Here is a 22,653-nt window from a genome sequence, read left to right on the forward strand (position 1 = left end):
TGATGACACTATTGGTCAGATTACATTCTCTGTGTGTAGGGGTTAAGAGATCGTCCCAGGTTGGCTTCCCTCCTGCGAACTCCTTTCTTGGTTATCAGCATCATCTCCATTTCTATGCGGTCATTCAAGCTACATATCTCTGGGTGTTCATCCACCCCCCTCTTCTTCTTACTCCACCTCCAATAGGTGATCACTTCCTCATAATTTTGTGTCCTCTAATATAATGATCTGCCCTGACTTCTTAGGCTCTCATCATTTTGTCTAGACCTCTCACTTTGTCTCTTGCCAACTGGCTGCTCCAACCAAATTAATTCAATGCTTCATGATGTTAGTTACTCGTGATTTACTTATTCATTTGGTGAAAATATTTGAGTGCTTACTATCTGTTAATTCCTGTGCTAAGAGCTGTGATCATTCTCTGGATTAAAATCTTTCCAAGCCTCCATGTTGCTTACAGAACAAACCCTTGCTTCTAACACAGCATGAAAGGCCTCTGATAATCTGCCTCTGACCTAACTTTTCAACTTACTTTCCTGCCCTACTGAACAAATTATCTTTCCTCAGTCTGAGCACATATTATTAAGCCCTTGTATCTTTGTATGTGCTATTTTTTTTAATTTGTGGTATCCTTTTTACCCTTATCTGGGGAATTTTCGTTCATTCTGTGCAACTTGACCTAGTGTCTAGAGAAATGCTTGGCACATGGAAGATAATAAATAGGAAATGAACTTAAATTTTACCTTCTCTGTGAAATATTCGACTTTCTGGCTGCTGGTCAGTACATCCCTTTTTCACCATAGCCCATTGTATGCACTTTTAGCACATCACATCCTCTGACTGTGACTCTTGATGGTAAGGATAGTACCTTATATCTCTTAGGACCTCCAGGCTCTACACCATGCTGAACATAAAGTAGACCCAAATGACTAAATGCTCACTACTCTATCAAGATGGCTTCTCATGGAATTCTTGTTTCACACTGGAAATGGCATGCATCATTTGTTATTCCAAAAAACCCACAGAATTTGACACTAGTCTCAAATGGGCCCCACCCTCCTCCATAACTGAGCACCTTCCATTGCCTGTGATCTGAATTATGGAGATGGGGTCGAGTCCATCCTCTGTCATTTAGTCATTGTGTAACATTGGGAAGATATTTAACCAGTATCTGAGCCTCTGTTTCTTCTTCTATAAAGTAGGAGTAAGTGACATCTGCCCTTCTTGCCTTGTAGAATGGTCATGAGGATCAAATGAGATTACATACATAAAGGGCTTTTGTAACTTCTAAAGGTCATAAAGCTTTTTAAGTTTCTCTCTATTCAAACCAGAGCAAAAACAAATAAAACCCCTCCCTCAACCTTGCATGGCCTTGTATATTTTTTCCAAAGACAAGCTTCTTGAAAAGGCCAGTTTGTGCATTGTGTCCACTCTCTCTGCAAGCCCCATCACCCTGTTTTCTGCTAGCCACACCAATGGCAGCTTCCTCACCTCAATCGTCAATAATTTCCTCATGGCCAACACCTATGCACACTTTTCTGCTCTTCCCTCACTTGATCTGGCTCATCTGCCTCTTCCTGAGACATCCTCTGCACTGGGGCCAGGGTGAGCTTCCTAAAATCTGGACTGATTATACCCTGCCATGTACAAAGCTCCACAATCACTCCTCACTGCTTAGAGGGTAAAACTGAACTCCTTAGTCCACTCTGTTGAGCCTATCATCCACTGGTCCCTGCCTACCACTTCATCAGCATCTCCTAATGTTATTTTCCTTGTAACATAACCCTAGTCATACAAAATGACTTCTGTTTCCAGAAAGTGCTTTTTCAAATGCTGCCCAAAAGACAGCCTGGTGAAATCTGGTCATCTTTCACTACTTGGTTCAAAATATCACCTCTTCAGAGGAAACTCTTCTGATAACAACTTCCCACCCCTCTCCCTTTGATGCAGAAGTACATACTCTATCTCTGTATTTTCCATGCCCCTTGAACTCATCTTGATAAGCATAACCTTTCGGCCATTCTGCTATTCTCCCATTATGCACTTAAATATTTATCTCATACTAGTCAGTGAGCTTCTTGAATACAAGAAACCTGCTATTATCTCTCTATATATGTCTAGCTTCCTGATACATAGTAAGCTATGTTTGACTATTCAGTATGACAATTTAAATTGTTAACTGCTTGTTGAGTAAATAAACGGGTGCTATAAAATATTACTTGCACTATGTTCTAATTCTTTTACCATATTTTGTGAACCTTTTAAATTTATTGTTTTGTTACATTCTGGTTTTCACACATTTAGAAGAAAGATTCTGGCAAGTGCCATAATTTATACAGATATTATTCTCTGTTGAGATACAGGTTTTAGCTTCCTTTGGAAGTTAGAGAGGCTTAACTGTCTGCATTCTACCCCCACAGGTGCACAGCAGCTCCCTGAGGTACACAGAAGCTCTTGCTCACCTGCCACTTCCAGCCTTGGTATTTTCCAGTTGTCGGGTAAGGAGTTTAGCAATGGCGGTGAAGCTGTTGCTCATGCGGAAGATGTCTCTGCTCTGAGGGCCCAAGATTGAGGAGAAGGTGTCGGTGATGCTTTTAATCTCCAGCAGGAGAATATGGTGAAACGAATGCTCCATGTTGGCCAGTTGGCTCACCAGGTATGTCAGGCAGCTCCTGGCTCTCTCCTACCAAAAACAATGAAGAAAATAGGTTTATCTTTTAGAAGAAAATCATCCAGGCATGGTGGTCATGCCTGTAATCCCAGCACTTTGGGAGGCTGAGGTGGGTGGATGGCTTGGAACTCCTGATCGAGAACAGGAGTTTGCAACCAGCCTGGGCAACATGGTAACACCCCATCTCAACTTAAAAATACAAAAACTAGCCGGGCACAGTGGCACATGCCTGTAATCCCAGCTACTTGAGAGGCTGAGGCACGAGAATCACTTGAACGCAGGAGGCAGACGGTGCAGTGAGCCAAGATTGTGCCACTGCACTCCAGCCTGGGAGACAGAGGGAGACTCGGTCTCAGAAAAAAAAAATTAATAAATAGAAAAGAAAAAATCAGAGTCCCATGAGCAGCAGATGATAATTCTATAGGGAGCTGACTCAGAGAGCTAGCTCAAGTTGAATAATCAGTTTCATTCATAGTTCCTCTGAGTCTGCTTCTTTGAGATTTTTAATTTATTCCTGATTTCCAGGACAGACTAATATGCAAACATACTCATTAACCTATCTTTCCAGGTCAAAACCTCTCAACCATCATAAATGATGAGACCCCACACATGCACCTCTCACAACTATGTGAGCTGCTAACTCCACCTGCACGGGGCAGGTACGGTCCATGGTCTCAAAGTGAGCCTTGACCCTGGCACACTTAAACCATCTGTCTGTCGGGGTGATGGTTGCATATTCCACTAGTGTGCTAGGTTGATTTCCTTGCTGCAGGTTTTCTCACTGACTTGTTAACTTTAAGCATCTTTCAGTGTATTACAGTTTTTATATGCTTGGCCGATTGAGTAGATTATATTATCTAGGTTTAACCAAGCTAACTTTCACAGTCATTTAAGTTCCTTCAAAGAATGAAAGATTAAGGACAATATGAATAATGTAGGCATGAGCAAATAAGAAAATGGCTTAGCTGACACATCTCTTATACCTATTAAAACTCCTCATTAGCCATATTTTGAGGCAACATGATCTAATCTGACATGACTGGAAGTTAGCCAAAAAATTCAATATTCAAAATTATTGAAAAGGTTATTTGAAATGTAGATTTGTGCCCAATAGAAATAATGATATACCATTAATAAATAACAATTTAAAATATGGCTTATTTCACCTTTAACTTTTCTTTTAAAATCTTATTTTTGTGTATGTCTAAAATTTTTTCTTGTTAGTATAGTGGAACATATGTATAAATATAAATAAATATATACTGGAAGTTGCTGCTCACAATCCTTCTGACTAACTGGTGCACAGATCTAGATTACTCTTCTCGTTAGGAATTCTTATTTACCCTTTGTGCTAGCATTTGAAGCCTTAATTTCCTTCAAGGTGCAACTCTTCCATGCAGCTGTCTCCAGTGACTCCTGTGTAAATTTTTACTGCATTATAGACTCTTTAAAAATCTTAATTTTATTTTATTTCAGTATCTTTTTGAGACAGAGTTTTACTCTGTTGACCAGGCTGGAGTGCAGAGGTGTGATCATGGCTCACTGCAGCCTTGACCTCCTGGGCTCAAGCTATCCTGCTGCCTCAGTCTCCTATGTAGGTGCACCACAGGTGTGTGCCACCACACTCAGCTATTTTTTATTTTTATTTTTTTTTGTAGAGACAGGGTCTCACCGTGTTGCCCAGGCTGGCCTGGGCTCAAGTAATCCTCCTGCCTCAGCCTCCCAAAATGCTAGGATTACAGGCGTGAGCCACCGTGTCCAGCCAAAAATCTTTTTAGTACTTAATTGCATTTGATCATTTGCTTACTCATGCTTTTATTTAATCACCAAATAGGTATGGCATGCCTATAATATGCTTTTACTAGACTCTAGATAACAAAGGTGAATGAAAGGATGCCCTTGCTTTTAAAGAACACACAATCCCCCTCACCTTTTATTTATAATTTCCTAATGGTTACATGTGCCAGTCAAGTCTTCTAAAGGAGCTACTTCTCAGTCATCAGTCATCAACCTGGCACTAAATTGAGCCTGTGGATTCTACACCCAGTGTGTGTGTCTCAATTTACTGATTTAAGAAAACCTTATATATCAAAATATGACCTTATAAATAAAGTATGTTGTTACAAAGGAATTCTGTGCTTTACAATAAATATTTAATACAGAACAAATTTAAGTAGTGAAGTTCCCTCATTTTTGGTACTTGATTTTCAAAGATTCCATGTACAGTTGCACTGGAACATATCTCTTGGGGTAAATGGGGTACTTCTGCCATCAATCCCTTATTTATTTTTTAAACCCCACTAGGGCACAGTGTCCTGTATGGGTATGTGAGACAGAGGCTTGTGCTTTCATGAGCTGGACAGCTAGTTGAAGCTAAAGACATCTATTCATCAAAGAATAATGTTAGATGAATGAAAATAAAAGACCCCTGGAATATGTTCCTGGAGACCCTGTTTCATATTTTGGGTCATACAATTGCCAGGTTGCAGAACAATACTTAAATGCTCTTGGATCCAACAGTTTTTGTTTTTTTTTGCAACATAGACTCATTTATTAATTCAAAGTCTCCATGTGTGAATTCATGATATGCAATGCATCAAGGGACATTTTCTATTCCTGATTTAAAGGTAAAAGCTGGATGTGGGGGGTCCCTACCATATGCCAGACCCCCTTCTAGAAGTCAGGAACATATCACTGAAGAAAAAGCACAAAAATTCCTGCCACAATAATGAGGCAGACAGACAATAAACAAAATATCTTTGTAAAATGTATAGTGTGTTAGATGGAGAAACGTGCCTCAAAGGAAAATGAAGCAGAAGGGGGAGCCAATGGTAAATAGTGTACTTAGGACACATCTCAGAGAGAAGGCGACATTTGAATTTGGCAAGGTTTCAGACTCTAAACTCAACATTCTCAGTAACCTTAGAAAACAATTACCATAAATTTATCCTGCTTGATATAGGGTGGTAGGAAGATACAGGAACTGAATTTTATATGCTGTTTGTCCTACTAAGATGTAATTTAAAATTTGAGGTAACTTCCTTACTTTCAGAAGTAGATTTTTCATTAGAATTTTTAAAAACCGTTTCACAAACATTTCATTTGCTTATGCAATAAGTGTCCCCATGGTTTCATTAAGAATCCTTCTCACTATAAAAATTTGCAAGCCCCTTCTTTAAAGCATGTGTCTTTTAAAAGGTGAAGGTCGTTGTTTGGGTATTTGCCGAAATCAACATAATTCTGAATGATCGCTGGCAGCCAACTGAGTTGAAGGGAAAATTAATCACAGTGCAGGAACAGGAAAAATTATAACTGCTCTGGAACTAAAGTATGAAACCAAGCCAACCTCACATCATTTGTTCTGAAACCTTGGAGCACATCCATGTACCTCACAGGGGTAACAGATGTGATTTTGGATTAGAAAGTGTAATATTAGGGCAGGAAGGGGGTTAGGAGATTCTGATTTCCTTCTCAGCTTCATGATATTTTGCCTCTGAGGGCTAGTGACTGGATTTTCCTGCTTTCAGTCACCCCATTGAGGGGTAGGGTCAGCACCTGTAAGCCTTAATTGTGGGTCTGACCTTATCCCTGCTGACACAAATTCATTGTTTATTATTAAACAAAAATAGCTGGCCCAGAGAGGGCACTTACTCTAAGCACCAAGCATATTCTATACTCTTTTCAGGTATTTACTCATATAATCCTCCAAATAATGCTATAAGTACTAGAATCATTGCCACTTTAACAAGGAGGAAACTGAAGCACAGATAGGAGACTAACTTGCTCAAGGCCACATATGCCCTCCCTGTTTCTACATCTAGACCCTCACTTGCTATACTGCCAGCTCCTCCCATCAAAAAAAAAAAAAAAAACTAAATGACCTATGCACATATTTTTCCACTCCTTTTTCCTACATCTCATTCATCATCAGAGTTATGTGGTCTTTTTTGTTAACTATTTTTAATTTAGTTATATAAATATTATAAATACTCTGTATATACAAAATAGATCAGCAATTCTCAAATCTTTTGGTTTTAGGACCGCTTTACACTCTTGAAAATGATCAAAGATCCCAGAGTTTTTGTTATCTGGTTTATATCTATTGGTATTGGCCATATTGGAAGTTAAAATAGGCAATTTTTAAAATGTATATTTTCATTAAAAAATCACATTTTCAAAAACAAAAAATTTAGTGAGAAGACTGGCATTCCTCTATATTTTTGCAAATTTCTTTAGTAACTTGTTAATAGATGACATCTATATTCTCATATGTTTCTGTATTTGATCTGTTAAATCTGGCCTCATAAAGATTTGAAGTTAGAAAAGGGAAGACTATTTTCAAAATAGCCTTGATAATTGTGAATATTCTTCTTGGACGCTACACCAAAACTCAACAAGTAGTTTCTCAAAGGTTAGTTGTGATATGTGACTTTAATTAACTTTGTATCCTATTACATTAAAATCCACTGGTCTGTCTTGCACTTTGATTAAATCTTTTACCTATGCATGACTTTGAAATATTAAGCATTAGTCATTTGGAAAAATATGGGTTTACTGTGTTAGGCATATCTTCCAAAGTTTGATGCATTTCATTATATAATATAAAAAACATTGCATTCACTATTTTCACCACTGATCTCATCAGAAAAGTCTTTTAAGTATTGGGAAACTTTCAAGTTCACAGTGGCAGATAATAGATTTTCCAAAACTCCAATTTTCATTTGCAAGCTCAAATTGTATCACTGGCAGCAAATACTAGCATCAGTAGTTTTGCTTGAAATGAAAGGCTCACTTCATTCATTTTCTGGATAATGTCTACCAAACAGCCCCAAACAAATAATCATAGATTGTTCATTAGTTGTTACTTCAAGTAAAAATGGTTCCACAAAAAAAAAAAAAAAAAAAAAAAAGTGGTTAGTTTGGCACATAGGCAAATAACACAAGGTTTTTTTTTCTTAAGATAACCACTGAATTTCTGTATTTCAATCAGCAGCATAAGTGCCAAGCCAATGAATCCTTCCCATTTAGCCAGAGAGAAACTTAAGAAGATGTGTACTCAGGATTGAGATTTAATAAAATTAATAATTTCTACTGCTTCATCAGGTTAATTCAGTGGTTTCCAGGGGGAGGCAGTGGGGAAAAGAAAGGGAGAGGAGTGATTTTTTTCCTCCCCAGAGGGCATTTGGAGAATGTCTGGAGACATTTTTGTCACGACTAGGAGAATGGGAGGGCTAGTGGTATCTGGTGGGTAGAGGCCAAACACCCCACAATGCACAAGACAACCACACAACCGAGAGTTGTTTGGTCCAAAATGTCAATATTGCCAAGGCTGAGAAACACTGACTTAGGAGAAACTGGCTCTTTTTTTCTTGTCCTGCAAACGTGTGGTGGTAAAGAATATGACTACGAGTACAGTGTGGTGCCACTGTCTTGTCTTGGTTTGTGCCTAGGCACTTGCAGTTTAAACCACCATTGCTTTGTTCTATTAATGCAAATGTCAACACAGTGAAAATGGTAAATAATGTCTTAGTATTATTGTAAAAATAGCTTTGACCTTACAGATTCCCTGAAAAGGTCTTGGTGTCCATGGACCATGCTGAGTATTGATGAACTCAGGATCAGGAGTCAAATAAATATTTTCTCTAAAGGAACAGACAGTAAATATTTCCAGTTTAGTGGGTCAGATGGTCTCTTGTTGTGGGAAAAGAGCTAAAAGCAATAAGTAAATTAGTGGATGTGGCTGGATTTGGCCCACAGGCAGTAATTTGTTGACCCCTGAACTAGATTATATGTTTGCAAAATTGCATTGGCCATTTTTTTCACTTTTTATTATTTTGTTTTTTTAATACTACTACTCCAGTTTCATAAAGGTGCTCTGCTATCCTTTGTCAGAAAAACAGAACACAACTCAGAAAATGGCCAAACATGAAAATGTGGGGGTCTGGATAATAACAATAGTTTCCATTCACTAAGCATCCACTGTATGTCTGGTACTTGACATATGCATTTTAACTTAATCTTCACAATGACCTTGCAAAATGAGTATCTAGATGAGGATATTGATGTAAAGAGGGATAGTAACTTCACTAAAGTTGCACAGGTATAATATAGCTATAAGTGGCAGAGCCAATATTAAATCAAGATTCATCTGATTCCAGAGTTTGAATGTTTCCACATCACTAGGGCTGATAAAAACCATTTAGGGCAGCTCTGTAGGCTGCAGCCCTCCTTTCTGTACTCCACCTGTGGTAGACGTCACCAGCTGATGATAGCATTCTTTCTTCCCTGCTGAACCCAGAAGTTTCCTGATGTTCTTTCTCAGTGCTGTCCTCCTTGTGAGTGGTTCTCAGCACTGGCTGCACATTAGAATCCCCTGGAAAGCTGTTAAAACTATTCTAATGCCACGTAAATCTCTCCTGCTTCCCAATTCCTGTTCAATTTTATTGAAATGGGTGGAGCTCAGGCATAGGAATTTTTAAACCCCTTGGATGATTCAGATGTGCAGCCAAAGGAGAATCACTGGTCTATGTGGAGTCCTAAATCTCTGAGAATTTGAGAATTTGCTGATGTAGGAAATGTGGATTTGGCCCTATAATCCACATTTTTCTCTCCCCTGTCTTTTATCACTTTACAAATGTAAAAAAATAATAATATATTAGTTGCCTGAATGAAAATATTGCATTTCCCGGGCATTTGTATTTTACACCATTTGATTTAAACACAATCTTTCTTCATAGTTCAACTCTTTGAAGTCTCTACACACATCAAAGATACACTTGCAAGGGCCATTAGAAATGTAAAGCAAATGAGTTTTTTGTTAATGTTCTCTCAATGGAACTTTGCCAGAGTGACTCCAGGCTTTTCTTAGGAGCCTTCAAAAGCCTGAGTGTGGCCAGTGATGCTTAACTGCCTGGGGGCGTATTTATTCCATGAGAGTCTCTTTCTTAATTGAAGAGACTTAGCTCCAGACCAAGAGTTGAAGGGTTTGTACTAGACTCTCCTCCCACCCCAATGCTTCTTTGGCTGTGAGAAACTCTGGTACTGGGGGAGCAATTCTTTGCCCCAAGATTTTCCCAGTTTTAGAACTGCAAGCCTCTTGTCCCTTGTCCTGGGAAACTCCTTAATCATGGGCAAATCAGGACAGTTGACCACCCTCCTCTGGAGAATGTAGGCAGGTAGAAAATTCAACTCAGAGGACTCTGTTCAATAGACTCATATTGCAGGTGAATATGATGATATATCACTCTATATGCTTCCCTATACAGATACAGTTGGCCCTCCATATTGGAGGGTTCTACATCCACAAATACAACCAATTGCAGGTCAAAATATTTGGAAAAAATAGAAAACAATATAACGATAAAAATAATACAAATAGAAACACAGAATAACAACTATTTACATAGCATTTACATTGTATTAGGTATTATAAGTAATCTAGAGATGATTTAAAGCACACAGGAAGATGTGCATATGTTGTATGCAAGTCCTGTGCCACTTTATATAAGTGATTTGAGTATCCTTGGATTTTGGTATCCACGGGGGTTCTGGAACCAATTTTCCTCAGATATTGAGGGATGACCATATATAATATGTTGATTCTTGTTATTTGGGAATAACAAGTAGCTATGTTCCATAAAATTACAACCCTGAATTAGACAATACTGAAGTATTGCTTCTAGAGGAAATTCAGGGTTAGTTTCCTGCAAGCCTCTGGTTACATTTTTGTTAACTGATTCATACATAACATTGTTATATGTGTGTTTCTGTTTAAAGCTATTTAATATATACTGTTGATTCATTAAATTTGAACCCATGGCCAACAGCAAGGTAATTTATGCCTGAACAAAACTTATCCAACATATGTATTTTCTCCATGAGGCATATCACAGTCTTCTTGTGGTTAGGAACACTAGAGAGCACTTTAGTACTATACTTGGGGGACACTTTAAACAGTGAAATCACCAAAAACAAACAAAAAAAAGCATGAAGATAAGAAAAATGTGGCAATAAAGAGGCCATGAAAAGAATAGATACTTGTTTACAGTATGAGAGCTGAACCAAGACAGCAGGGCATCACTTTGTTCAACCTCAGCTGGGGACAACTGAAGTTTTTTGCTACTCTGTGCACATCTGTGAATGACTTTGTAACCCCAAATCAATACTATAGTGCTTTCAAAGACATTTTTAGCAAGTAGGTAAATTTGAAAATATAAAATCACAGAGCTGGATGGATGGATAGGTAAATAGATGGATAGGTAAGCAGATAGATAGATAGATAGATAGATAGATAGATAGATAGATAGATAGATAGATAGATAGATAGATAGAAATGCGTACATAGATGGACCAATCCATTGATGGATTTCAGATCTTTGTGGATCTTCTGTAAAAGGAAAAAGATTTTCCAAAGCATTAGGGGATGAATTTCTATGAAACTCCTTGCAGTCATGCCCAGAGAGATGCAAGATCAGCTTTACTGAGGTCAGCTGAAATTTTATTTGATTTTAGGTCTTCAGCATATTTTCCAGTTTATCTTCCCTTCTACTTGGCTACCATGGGCAGATTTTCTTATTGCCTTTGCACTAATTGGGCTTTTCTTTCATTAGCAAATTACTAATCATCCTAATCCATGTGAGCATTGTTTTCCATCCACATATTAATTCTTCTCTCCATTACATATTGTTTTATAAATGTGACCCAACTCAGGTGTGCAGATTGAAGACTGGGGACAGTCATTTGCTTTTCACTTGCAACCTGGTTGTTTATAGAAGAATATGAAAAGTGTGGGTAGCACTGGCATATGCTGAAATACTTTTACTTTCTTGGTTCTCACAATAAAAGACAAAAAAAGTTTGAACAATGTAATTTTTAAAAAGAAAAGATCCATTTGGTTTGGGACAATGAGTTAGGGTTACGATTATAATTCCAATCCCATAGAATGAGAATCCAATCCCAATCTCATAGAATGAGAATTGTAATTTTAAGAAAGTCAAAGGAGGAACTTTTCTACTAATCCTTTTTCAAATGGATCCTGATGTGCTTGGTAAGACATTTATTAAGTAGTGTTAAGTGGAGATATTGAAACTTGTTTTATTTTTGGAGTTGGTTATGAATTGGTTATTTGTGACCATTTTTTAAAAAACACCTCATTTTGTTTTGTTTTGTTTTGTTTTCTAAGATGGCAGATTAGAGGATTTTCAGAGTGCCTCAGCCATTTGGAAATAGCAAGATAGTACATAAAGATCAGCTCTGTGAGCTTTAATTCAAGAAGGAGAATGGGACTCCACCAGAATCATGAAGGATACCCCAGATCCTGGAGAGGAAAATGCTGGAATAAAGCCCCCATGACAGCATCTGGCTGATAAAAGCTGAAACATGTTTCTGGCCAGCCCACCAAGCTGTGGGTGGTGACCTGTTCCCATTTGCCAGACTAGGGGAAAAGAGCTGCGACCCTTCTGGAGGCCCAGACCTCAGGACTCCCTGAGCCAGAGCTGTGACACGCTGTAACATCCCCTCGGGGCTCCATGGTTGCTGGCATCTCCAAGTTTTTGGGCACCACCACATTCCTCTTGTCCAGATGCCAGCGCCCAAAGCGGAAGCTGCTTGAGGCATGCCTGGTCCAGCCACAGCCTTGCATGGAGCTTGCAACTCTGCTGATGCCTGGAGCTGCCTGCCACAGCAGCTGGTGCACCTGGCTTGCTGCGGCCAGATCTTGTACTTTGTCACTCACACACCCCTTGCCGTTCCACGCCTGTCTCACCTGTGGTGGGCATGGGGTCTGGGCCAGTAGTGTGAGTCAAGCACAGCCTGCCAGGCTGAGTGGGCAGAGCCAGCCCAATGGTCACAAGGAAAACTTGGGCAGAGGTGCCACTGGCCATAGAGGTTTCCAGCTGCCAAAGCAGCACCAAAAGAATCCTGTGTCATCAGTACATGAGAGGCAGAGAGCCTCCTTTGTGACTCATTTTTCCACTGGGGATCCAAGCCACCCAAGCTGAGGGAGAGCAGTTTGTTTCTTTCAAGCCCTAGAGCTAACTTGGGGAGAGGCTCTTGGAGATATTCTGAGGGAAAGACAATGGGAAAAACTGCACTTTCCCAGACCTGGGACTGATGGCGGGATGCCATTTTTAATCCAGGTACATATAAAGTCAGCCATTACCAGCGGCATGGCTGCACAGACACTGTGCAGTCCAAAGACTCAGGTCAGAGTCTTTGGGAAATATGGGATTATGTAAAGTGACATACCAATCAGACATTCCTGATAAAGAAGGAGAAAAAGTAAAACACCTGGAAAATATATTTGAGGGAATAATTCACAAAAACTTTCCTAATCTTGCTAGAGAGGTAGGCATCTACACATAAGAAATCCAGAGAATGCCTGTGAGATACCATACAAAATGAACATCACCAAGGAATGTAACTACCAGATTGTCCAAAGTCAATGCTAAAGAGAAAAATCTTAAAGGCAGCTAGAGAAAAAGGGCAGGTCACATACAAAGGCAATCCCATCACGCTAACAGACTTCTTAACAGAAACAAGCAAGGAGAGATTGGGGGCCTATTTTAGCACTCTTAAAGAAAAGAAATTTCAACCAAGAATTTCATACCCCGCCATACTAAAGCTTCATAAATGAAGGAGAAATAAAATATTGTCCAGACAAGGAAGCTGTAAGAGAATTTGTTAACACTAGATCAGCCTTAGAAGAGATCCTTAAGGGAGTTCTAAACATGAAATGAAAGAATGATACCTGCTAAATAATAAAACAAAAACACACTTAAGTACATAGCCTGCAACCACACAATAGAAACAACAAAGCAACCAGCTAACAACTTCATGATAGTATCAAAACCTCATATATCAATATCAACCTTGAATGTAAATGGTTGTATTAGTCCATTTTCACAATCATGGCAGAAGGAGCAAGTCATGTCTTACATGGATGGCAGCAGGCAAAGAGAGAGCACGTATGTAGGGGAATTCCTCTTTTTAAAACCATCAGATCTCATAAGACTTATTCACTATCACGAGAACAGCATGGGAAAGATATGCCCCCATGATTCAATTACCTCCCACCGGGTCCCTCCCACCACATGTGGGAATTCAATATAAGATTTCAGCGGTGACATAGCCAAACTATATCAATGGTCTACATCAGGGGTGTACAATCATTTGGCTTCCCTGGGCCACATCGGAAGAAGAAGAATTGTCTTGGGCCACACACAAACTATGCTAACACTAATAATAGCTGATGATCTAAAAAAAAAATCACAAAATATCTCATAATGTTTTAAGAAAGTTTATGAATTTGTGTTGGGCTGCATTCAAAGCTGTCCTGGGCCTCATGTGGCCTACAGGTTGTGGATTGGACAAGCTTGGTCTAAATGGTGCATTTAAAAGGCACAGCATCTTATTTAACCACTTTGAGCCTAAGCTTCATCTGTAGATTGGAGCTAACAGTTCGGCGGCAGATACTTTTGATTGCCTATCACTAATTGTATCTCACCCTATCCCCTTCTTTCTTATTGGTATAACCCCCAGCCTGCTATAAAGTGAAAATAGCTATTCTATTTCTCAGGCTCCTTTTAAACTAGGGCATGGGTATGTGATTTAATCCTGGGCAACTGGACCTGATGTGAAGTTTTCTGGGGTAGAAGACTACTGAAAAATGTTTTCCTCCCAGATAAAAAGAGATGGAAGAACACATTCCTGTTCCTTAACCAGACATTGTTGTACCTATATGCACTACCTGGATCTGGGCAGTTATCTTTGCAAGTGTGAGGGTATGTTTATGGGACCAATTCAAATATAATGATGATGGTAGAGAGAGAATAGAAAGAAGCTTATCAAGAGTTCTTGATGATGTTGTGGAACTTCTGAACAAACCTGGGACCCACCCTGTTTTCCAGGCTTCTTGTTATAGGAGATAATAAATATTTTTCTTCTGAATCAGCTTTAGTTGCAAATGCTATTACCAAATTCATCTTAGCTGACACAACTTCTTCATGATGTTGTGAGGAACAATGAAAAAATAATTGTAAAGTATCTAGCATAGAGTAGGTGACAAAACAATGCTATCAATGAATTGTTATTATTAGTATTATTTTTAGTATGATCTGATGATGCCAGAAATATCAATGAATTTAAAAATAAGTTACTTAGTACAGCCTGAATGTTTTATTATAAAGATTACTGTTTTCAATATCAGGTATACTATTTGGCACATAGCAAATATTCAATGATTGTATTTTTCTTTGACATTATGGAATATATGCTACATACGAAATAATATATATAAATATATGTAATGTAACAGGAAATTATCAATAACATTGGCAGCATCTGTGAGCCCCTTCCTACCCCATCTCTCTTTCTTCTTCATACTTCCCTTGCAGAGAAACCAATATCAGGTTTTAAAAGCCATTTTTAACCAGCGGTCATCACTCTGGAGGAGGTAAATTTCTATATACTGCAGGTATATGATTGTTTTTCCTATTCTATTGGAAGACTTTTGTTACCTCCGGTTTTGTTGTTTGTTCAGAGCTTGAGATATTAAGCCTTAAAATAAAATCTCAAATACTCTCATTGGCTGGTGGGTTTAGAGCCACTTTAGAAAATCCAGAACCACAACTGAGACAAAGCTACTAAAACCCTGCTAGCACCACCTTTCTGTTAGATTCAGCTGATCTGTCTGAGTGATGGGTTAAGTTTCTCCATCCCAGAGATATTATCCGGCATTTGGGTTTCAAGAGGCTTTCTTACTGCATGCAAAGTAGAATTGATGGGTAAGGGACTAGCAAGGAAAGTGTCGACTGTTCAAAATGTCAATACATGTGAAAGATTTTCTTTGGATAAACATTAATATGGCAAATTTTACCTTCGAGGAATGAAAAGGTAGTAGTACCATGTAAAGCCTTCCTAGCTGTGCCTTATTTGTCTGAGAAGGCAAGTGCAATAATATAGTTGTTTATAAAGTGGGTTCAGAAGCTTTTTCCTAAGTTTGAATCTGGCACTGTAGCTAACCAGACATGGACCTTGGGCAAGTTATTTAACCTTGCATGGCTCAGTTTATTAAAAGGGGTTAATCACAGTATCTGTCTCATAGAGGAGTCATGTGTTAGTCCATTCTTGCATTGCTATAAAGAATACTCGAGACTGGGTAATTTATAAGAGGTTTAATTGGTTCATGGTTCTGCAGGCTGTTCATGAAGCATAGTTCTGCAATCTGCTTCTGTGGGAAGCCTCAGGGAGCTTTACTCATGGCAGAAGGCAAAGCAGGAGTAGGCAGATCACATGGTGAATGCAGAACAAGGGTGGGAAGGTGCCACACACTTAAACAACCAGATCTCATGAGAACTTACTATCTTGAGAGCAGCATACCTCACTCTGAAACTAAGACCTCTAAGCCAGCAGAACATAATGTCATGGGAATATGAAGCAAAAATGTTGCTAGTGGCTCACTAGGGGTAATTGTGAGTGGTGTCCCTTCTACTTTCACCCATTGATTCCTGGACCTATGAATCCTACCTATGGGAGAAACAGTACCATATACTAGATGCTGATTCAGAGCATATACAGCCTTCTGGGGAACTTTTCCCTAGCCCTGCAAAGTATTGTCACCTGGTTGGCATTGTAATTATGACTTCAAATAGCCATTCTATTGTTCTCTCAAGCCAGCTGCTTCAGGATCAAGGGGAGCATGGTAAGACCAGTGAACGCCATGATCACGAATGCATTGCCGCATTTCTGTCTGTAGAGTGAGTTCCTTGGTCAAAAGCAATGCTATGTGTAATACCATGGCAGTCGACAAGGCAGTTCTGCAAGTCCATGGATGGTACTCTTGGCAGAAGAATTGCATGTAGGAAAGGCAAATCCATATCCTGAGTAAGAATATTCCAGTAAGAACAAATCCTGTCCCTTCCATAATGGAAGTGGTCCAATGTAATCAACCTGCCACAGGTAGCTGGCTGAACACCCCAAGGAACAGTGCCATATAGAGGGCTCATTGCTGGTCTCTGCTGCTGGCAGACAGGGCAGTCAGCGATGGCAGTAGCCAGATCAGCCTTTGTGAGTGGACGTCCATGTTGCTGAGCCCATGAATAACCTCCTTCTCTGACACCATGGCAACTGTGTTCATAAGTCCATTGTGTGATGACAGGAGTGGTTGGGGAAAGAGCCTGAATGGTGTCAACAGAGTGGGTCATCATATCCACTTGATTATTAAAATCCTCCTCTCCAAGGTCATCCTTTGCTGAGTGTACACAGGGGACACAAATATCTTCAGTTTTTGGCCACTCAGGTCCATCCACATATCTCTTCCCAAAAATTTCTTTGTCACCAATTTTCTTTTTTTTTAACTTTTATTTTAGGTTTGGGGGTGCAAGTGAAGGTTTGTCACATAGGTAAACACATATCATGAGGGTTTGTTGTACATATTATTTCATCACCCAGGTATTAAGCCCAGTACCCAATAGTTATCTTTTCTGCTCCTCTCCCTCTTCCCACCCTCCCGCCTCAAGTAGACTCCAGTGTTTGTTGTTTCCTTCTCTGTGTCACCAATTTTCTTTTAAATTTAATTGTATTTTAACTTCTGGGATACATGTGCAGGATGTGCGGGTTTGTTACATAGGTAAATGTGTGCCATAGTGTCTGGCTGCACCTATCAACCCATCACTAGGTATTAAGTCTTGCATGCATTATCTATTCTTTCTGATGCTCTCTCTTGCCCCATCCCCGCTGCAGGCCCCAGTGTGTGTTGTTCCCCACCCTGTGTCCATGTGTTCTCATTGTTCAGCTCCCACTTTTAAGTGAGAACATGTGGTGTTTGATTTTCTGTTCCTGTTTTAGTTTGCTGAGGATAATGACTTCCAGCTCCATCCATGTTCCTGCAAAGGAAAAGGACATGATCTCATTCCTTTTTATGGCTGAATACTATTCCATGGTGTATATGTACCACATTTTCTTTATCCAGTCTATCATTGATGGGCATTTGTGTTGATTCCATGTCTTTGCTATTGTGAATAGTGCTGCAGTGAACATCCTAGTGCATGTATCTTTACAACAGAATGATTTATATTCCTTTGTGTATATACCCAGTAATGAGATTGCTGGGTCAAATAGTATTTCTGCCTCCTAGGTCTGTAAGGAATCGCCACACTGGCTTCTACAATGGGTAAACTAATTTACATTCCCACCAATAGTGTAAAAGCATTCCTATTTCTCCACAGCCTTGCCAGCATCTGTTGTTTCTTGACTTTTTAATAATTGCCATTCTGACTGGTGTGAGATGATATCTCATTGTGGTTTTGATCCGCATTTCTTTAATGATCAGTGATGTTGAGCTTTTTTTCGTATGTTTGTTGATCACATGTATGTCTTCTTTTGAGAAGTGGCTATTCATGTTCTTTGTCCACTTTTTAATTGGGTTGTTTGTTTTTTTTTCTTGTAAATTTGTTTAAGTTCCTTGTAGATTCTAGGTATTAGACTTTTGTCAGACGGATAGATTGCAAAAATCTCCCATTCTGTAGATTATCTGTTCACTCTGATGATAGTTTATTTTGCTGTGCAGAAGCTCTTTAATTAGATCCCATTTGTCAATTTTTGCTTTTGTTGCAACTGCTTTTGACATTTTCATCATGAAATCTTTGCCCATGACTATGTCCTGACTGATATTACCTAGATTTTCTTCTAGGGTTTTGATCATTTTGGGTTTTACATTTAAGTCTTTAATCCATCTTGAGTTAATTTTTGTATAAGGAAAGGATCCAGTTTCAATTTTCTACATATGGCTAGCCACTTCTCCCAGCACCATTTATTAAATAGGGAATCCTTTCCCCATTGCTTGCTTTTTGTCAGGTTTGTTGGAGGTCAGATGGTTGTAGATGCGTGGTCTTATTTCTGAGATCTCTATTCTGTTCCATTGGTCTATGTGTCTGTTTTTGTACTGGTACTCTGCTGTTTTGTTACTGTAGTCTTGTAGTACAGTTTGAAGTTGGATGGCGTGATTCCTCCAGCTTTATTCTTTTTGTTTAGGATTGTCTTGGCTATACGGGCTCTTTTTTGGTTCCATATGAATTTTAAAGTAGTTTTTTCTAATTCTGTGAAGAATGTTAATGGTAGTTTAGTGGGAATAGCATTGAATCTATAGGCAGTATGGCCATTTTCACGATATTGATTCTTCCTATCAATGAGTATGGTATGTTTTTTCATTTGTTTGTGTCCTCTCTGATTTCCTTGAACAGTGGTTTGTAGTTCTCTTTGAAGAGGGCCTTCACTTCCCTTGTTAACTGTATTCCTAGGTATTTTATTCTCTTTGTAGCAATTGTGAATGGGACTTCATTCATGATTTGGCTCTCTGCTTGTCTATTGTTCTGTGTCATCAATTTTCTAATCATATTCCTTCCAAGTCCCTGATCATCCAGCCAAACCATTGGCTACAGCCCATGTATATACCTGCATGTCTGGCTACATCTTCTTCTAAGCAGAGCGCACAACCACATGCATTGCTTGAAGTTCTCCCCACTGGGAAGATTTTCCTTTACCACTGTCCTTCAGGCATGTCCCAGAGAGGTCCTATAGTGCTGCAGCTGTCTACTTTTGGTTGGTGCCACATATCATGCAGAGCCATTTGTAAACCATGCCCTCGTCTCTTCCTCTGTCAACCAATCACAGGAAACTCCCCATAAGGCCATAGGTACAGGCTGGGAGACAGAAGGCAGGGTAGCAGGAGTGGAGACCATGGGCATTTAAGCTACTTCTTCATGTAACTTATTTGTGTTCTCACAACCTGCTCAACCCTGATCACGTACATACCACTTCTCTTTGATGATGGAATACTGCAGTGCACACCCAATTTTGTCTTGATGGGTCAGAAAGCACCCAGTTCATGATAGCCAGTTCAGGTCACATACAAATTTGGTGATCTGTAGTCAAATATTCAGTTTCTACCAAGGCCCAGTAGCAGGCCAAAGCTGTCTCTCAAAAGGAGTTGTCGACCAGGAGCGGTGGCTCAAGCCTGTAATCCCAGCACTTTGGGAGGCCGAGGCGTGTGGATCACGAGGTCAGGAGATCGAGACTATCCTGGCCAATATGGTGAAACACCATCTCTACTAAAAATACAAAAATTAGCTGGGCATGGTGGTGCGCAACTGTAGTCTCAGCTACTTAGGGGGCTGAGGCAGAAGAATTGTTTGAACCTGGGAGGTGGAGGTTGCAGTGAGCCAAGATCACGCCACTGCATTCCAGCCTGGCAACAGAGTGAGACTCTGTCTCAAAGAAAAAAAAAAAAAGGAGTTATCTGCAGAAGATGATAGAGCCTTGCTCTAGAATCCTAAAGGGCGGGCTCAACTATGATTCACCTATGAGGACCTCCCAAAGGCTCCCGACAGCATCCCTATTTGCCACTGATACCTCACGCACCACTAGATCTGCTGAGTCATATGGCCCCAGAGGTACAGCAGCTTGCACAGTAGTTTAGACCTGTTGCAGAGACTTCTGGTCTGGGCCCCACTCAAAACTAGATGCCTTTCAGGTCACTCAACAAATGGGCCAGCACACCCCAAAACAATACTTTACCAGCCATCTAGGCATCCCTCAATCCAGTCAAGTTGACACCTAATACTGACCATCATAGATTGTGAGACTTCAGTGAGTTAAAAAAAAGTGAGTTAAAAAATGCCTGGCATACAGAAATGTTAAATCAACATTAGTTATTATTACTTGAGTATCAAAAATCTTAAACATGAATGCAGAAAGATTTGAATTATCACAAAAATGAAAACAAGCAATTTTAGAAGCTATATAGCCCTTTAATTTTTCCCAGTTAATTTATATTGAGAATTGATAATGGTTGGGAAGTTCTAGAAATGTCCAAGACCCCAAAACCAACTCAATATAAGCAAATGTGAGCCAGTGTTTTGGTAACTTGCAAAAAACTTTACCTAGAATTGAAATATCTTCAACATTTCACCAAGAAAGCCAATTTCTCCTTTAAAAGCAGTTACGTGATTACATCAAAACACTATACAACTTAAACTTTTCTTTGTGACCTGAACCCAAATTTAGCTCATTATTTTAGATATCTAGATATCTATATCATTTTCTATTTGTAATTATTCCTCAGTCTTTTTCAGTCTTTTCCTGTTTCTGAAGTAAAAATATTGCAGTCTTCAATTCTTCAAAAATTTGCTGTTATTGAAGTACGGAAGCCAGTAAAGGTCAAGCTATCTAGTAATCTTTAAATTCCAAGATATTTTTACAATTAAAAAATTTCATTCTTTAAAAAGTATGCCACGCAGACAAGAAAATGCTATTTTAGCCTTAAAATATTAGCATAAAATACATGTAAAATTCTTGCCAAGAAAGTAGACATCAAATGTTAATCATATTCAAAAGCTAAGAGTCAATAATCTTTTAACAGAACATCAAGAGGCAAGCTGCCTGAAATATTTTTTTTTGTGGAACAAAGCAGAAAATAAATAAATAAAAACCTTGTTAATCTCTCTCTTAGGTAGATAATTCTCCAACTTTGAGCCGATTTTTAGAATAGCATTACAAAAGTCACTTTCTTCAATTCTTTCTTTTATTTTTTGATTGTGTCTCAATTTTTCTGTATATCAGCTTGGGGTAATTGAATATATTTTTCTACCCATTGATTATAAAAACCCTATTAGAATTTAAACATATTTACATATTTTAAATGATCATTTTGTCAATTGTAAAAGGAATAAGTTTCCATTCTTCATTATTTTTGATTCAGGAACACGCACTTTTTGTGGGCTCATGGGAGAGTAATAAATCACGCTTAGTAAAACAAAGCTGTCTGGGCAAAACAATTTTTTAAAATAAATCCCAGTAATAAAAGTTGAGAAATAGCTGATGAAAACAGATGTATTCTTTGTTTTATATGAATCTTAAATTTTGTAACATGTTAAAAATTAAGGATAAGTTGGATTTAGTTCAGGTCTATGCATTTGGCACAGAATGCTAAAGTAAACCCCACCCTTGAGAAAAAAAGCAAGGTATAATTTTTTAATTATGAAACAATTATGGCTAAAGTTAAGTGTGGAACTTAGTATATCTTTCCCAAAAAGATGTTTGAATGAAATTGACTTAGGATTTAAAATAGAAATCAGAGGATATGAGAGGTAGCTTAACTTTATGCTATGCTATTTGAGACAATAAATTATGGTCTTTAGTTTGAATTTTTTAAAGGGCAGAAAACTTGACATGGTCTGCTGTCAAATAAGTTTTTTTCAATTTCAAATTATTTTTCCCTAAATGGCATTCAATGTGGCCATGTATGTGTTTAAAAACCCAAATCCCCCTCCATTTGTGCTAAGAGTTTATTTTCCAGCATTTTTTTTGTTGCACTGACCCCAAATAATTACAGAATCTTAAAGCTTATGGAAGTCTATCTAATTTTAGCTTCAAACATAGTATTATTTTATGAATTGATAAAAGATTTAGAGGTTCTATAGTTTGGATTTACTCTCTAAAAACTAGGGGCTTGGGAACTTAGCCTCTTAAAGTTAAATCTTTTGTGTGGGCTCAAGGGACCCAGAATGAATTATACTTAGCCACATTTTCTTCTCCCACCATGCCATAGTCCCCTCATGTAAATGACCTCTCACTGATAATCCTGAACAATGGCCCCACTATTTCTTTTGCTTCAATTAAACAAACTTTTTGAAAGACCACTGGGGACTTTAGAATTGAAAAATTTCTAGAGAACTCAAAGAAACAGCCCATCTTTAATTACACAATATCTGTTTAGTAAATGAGGTGCAATCTCCGAGTGAAAGAGAAAAGTAACCACAGGCCTTCTGGCCCAATCATGGAAATCATTTTGAAGAATGATGCCTATTATGGGTCCAAAAAGAAAGAAAATAGAAATAAAAAGAGAAAGGCTGATTGTATTTGAACTTTTTGCCAGGAAAAAAGTATATGCTTTTAGCTCATTAGAAAAAGGAACAATATGGTAAGATTTA

The 22,653-nt window shown here is 38.7% G+C and overlaps 1 protein-coding gene and 1 long non-coding RNA gene across 17 annotated transcripts in view; one reads left to right on the top strand and one right to left on the bottom strand.

The window, feature by feature from the left end:
• The window catches only part of LOC101928236 (uncharacterized), a 220,247-nt gene extending 204,997 nt beyond the window's left edge, over positions 1-15,250 (top strand). Inside the window, exons 9-10 of the long non-coding RNA XR_007096141.1 lie at positions 2,418-2,653; positions 11,850-15,250. This is a non-coding gene — a long non-coding RNA (uncharacterized LOC101928236). The remainder of the gene's footprint in view (positions 1-2,417; positions 2,654-11,849) is intronic.
• Positions 1-22,653, bottom strand: part of VEPH1 (ventricular zone expressed PH domain containing 1) — a 243,864-nt gene that overhangs the window by 118,955 nt on the left and 102,256 nt on the right. For all 16 annotated transcript variants that reach the window (XM_047448927.1, XM_047448922.1, XM_024453748.2 and 13 more), the window contains one exon: positions 2,460-2,680. In XM_047448927.1, the coding sequence (XP_047304883.1) occupies positions 2,460-2,680 (221 nt within the window). The remainder of the gene's footprint in view (positions 1-2,459; positions 2,681-22,653) is intronic.

Source organism: Homo sapiens, chromosome 3, assembly GCF_000001405.40.
Source record: "Homo sapiens chromosome 3, GRCh38.p14 Primary Assembly".
NCBI lineage: Eukaryota > Metazoa > Chordata > Mammalia > Primates > Hominidae > Homo > Homo sapiens.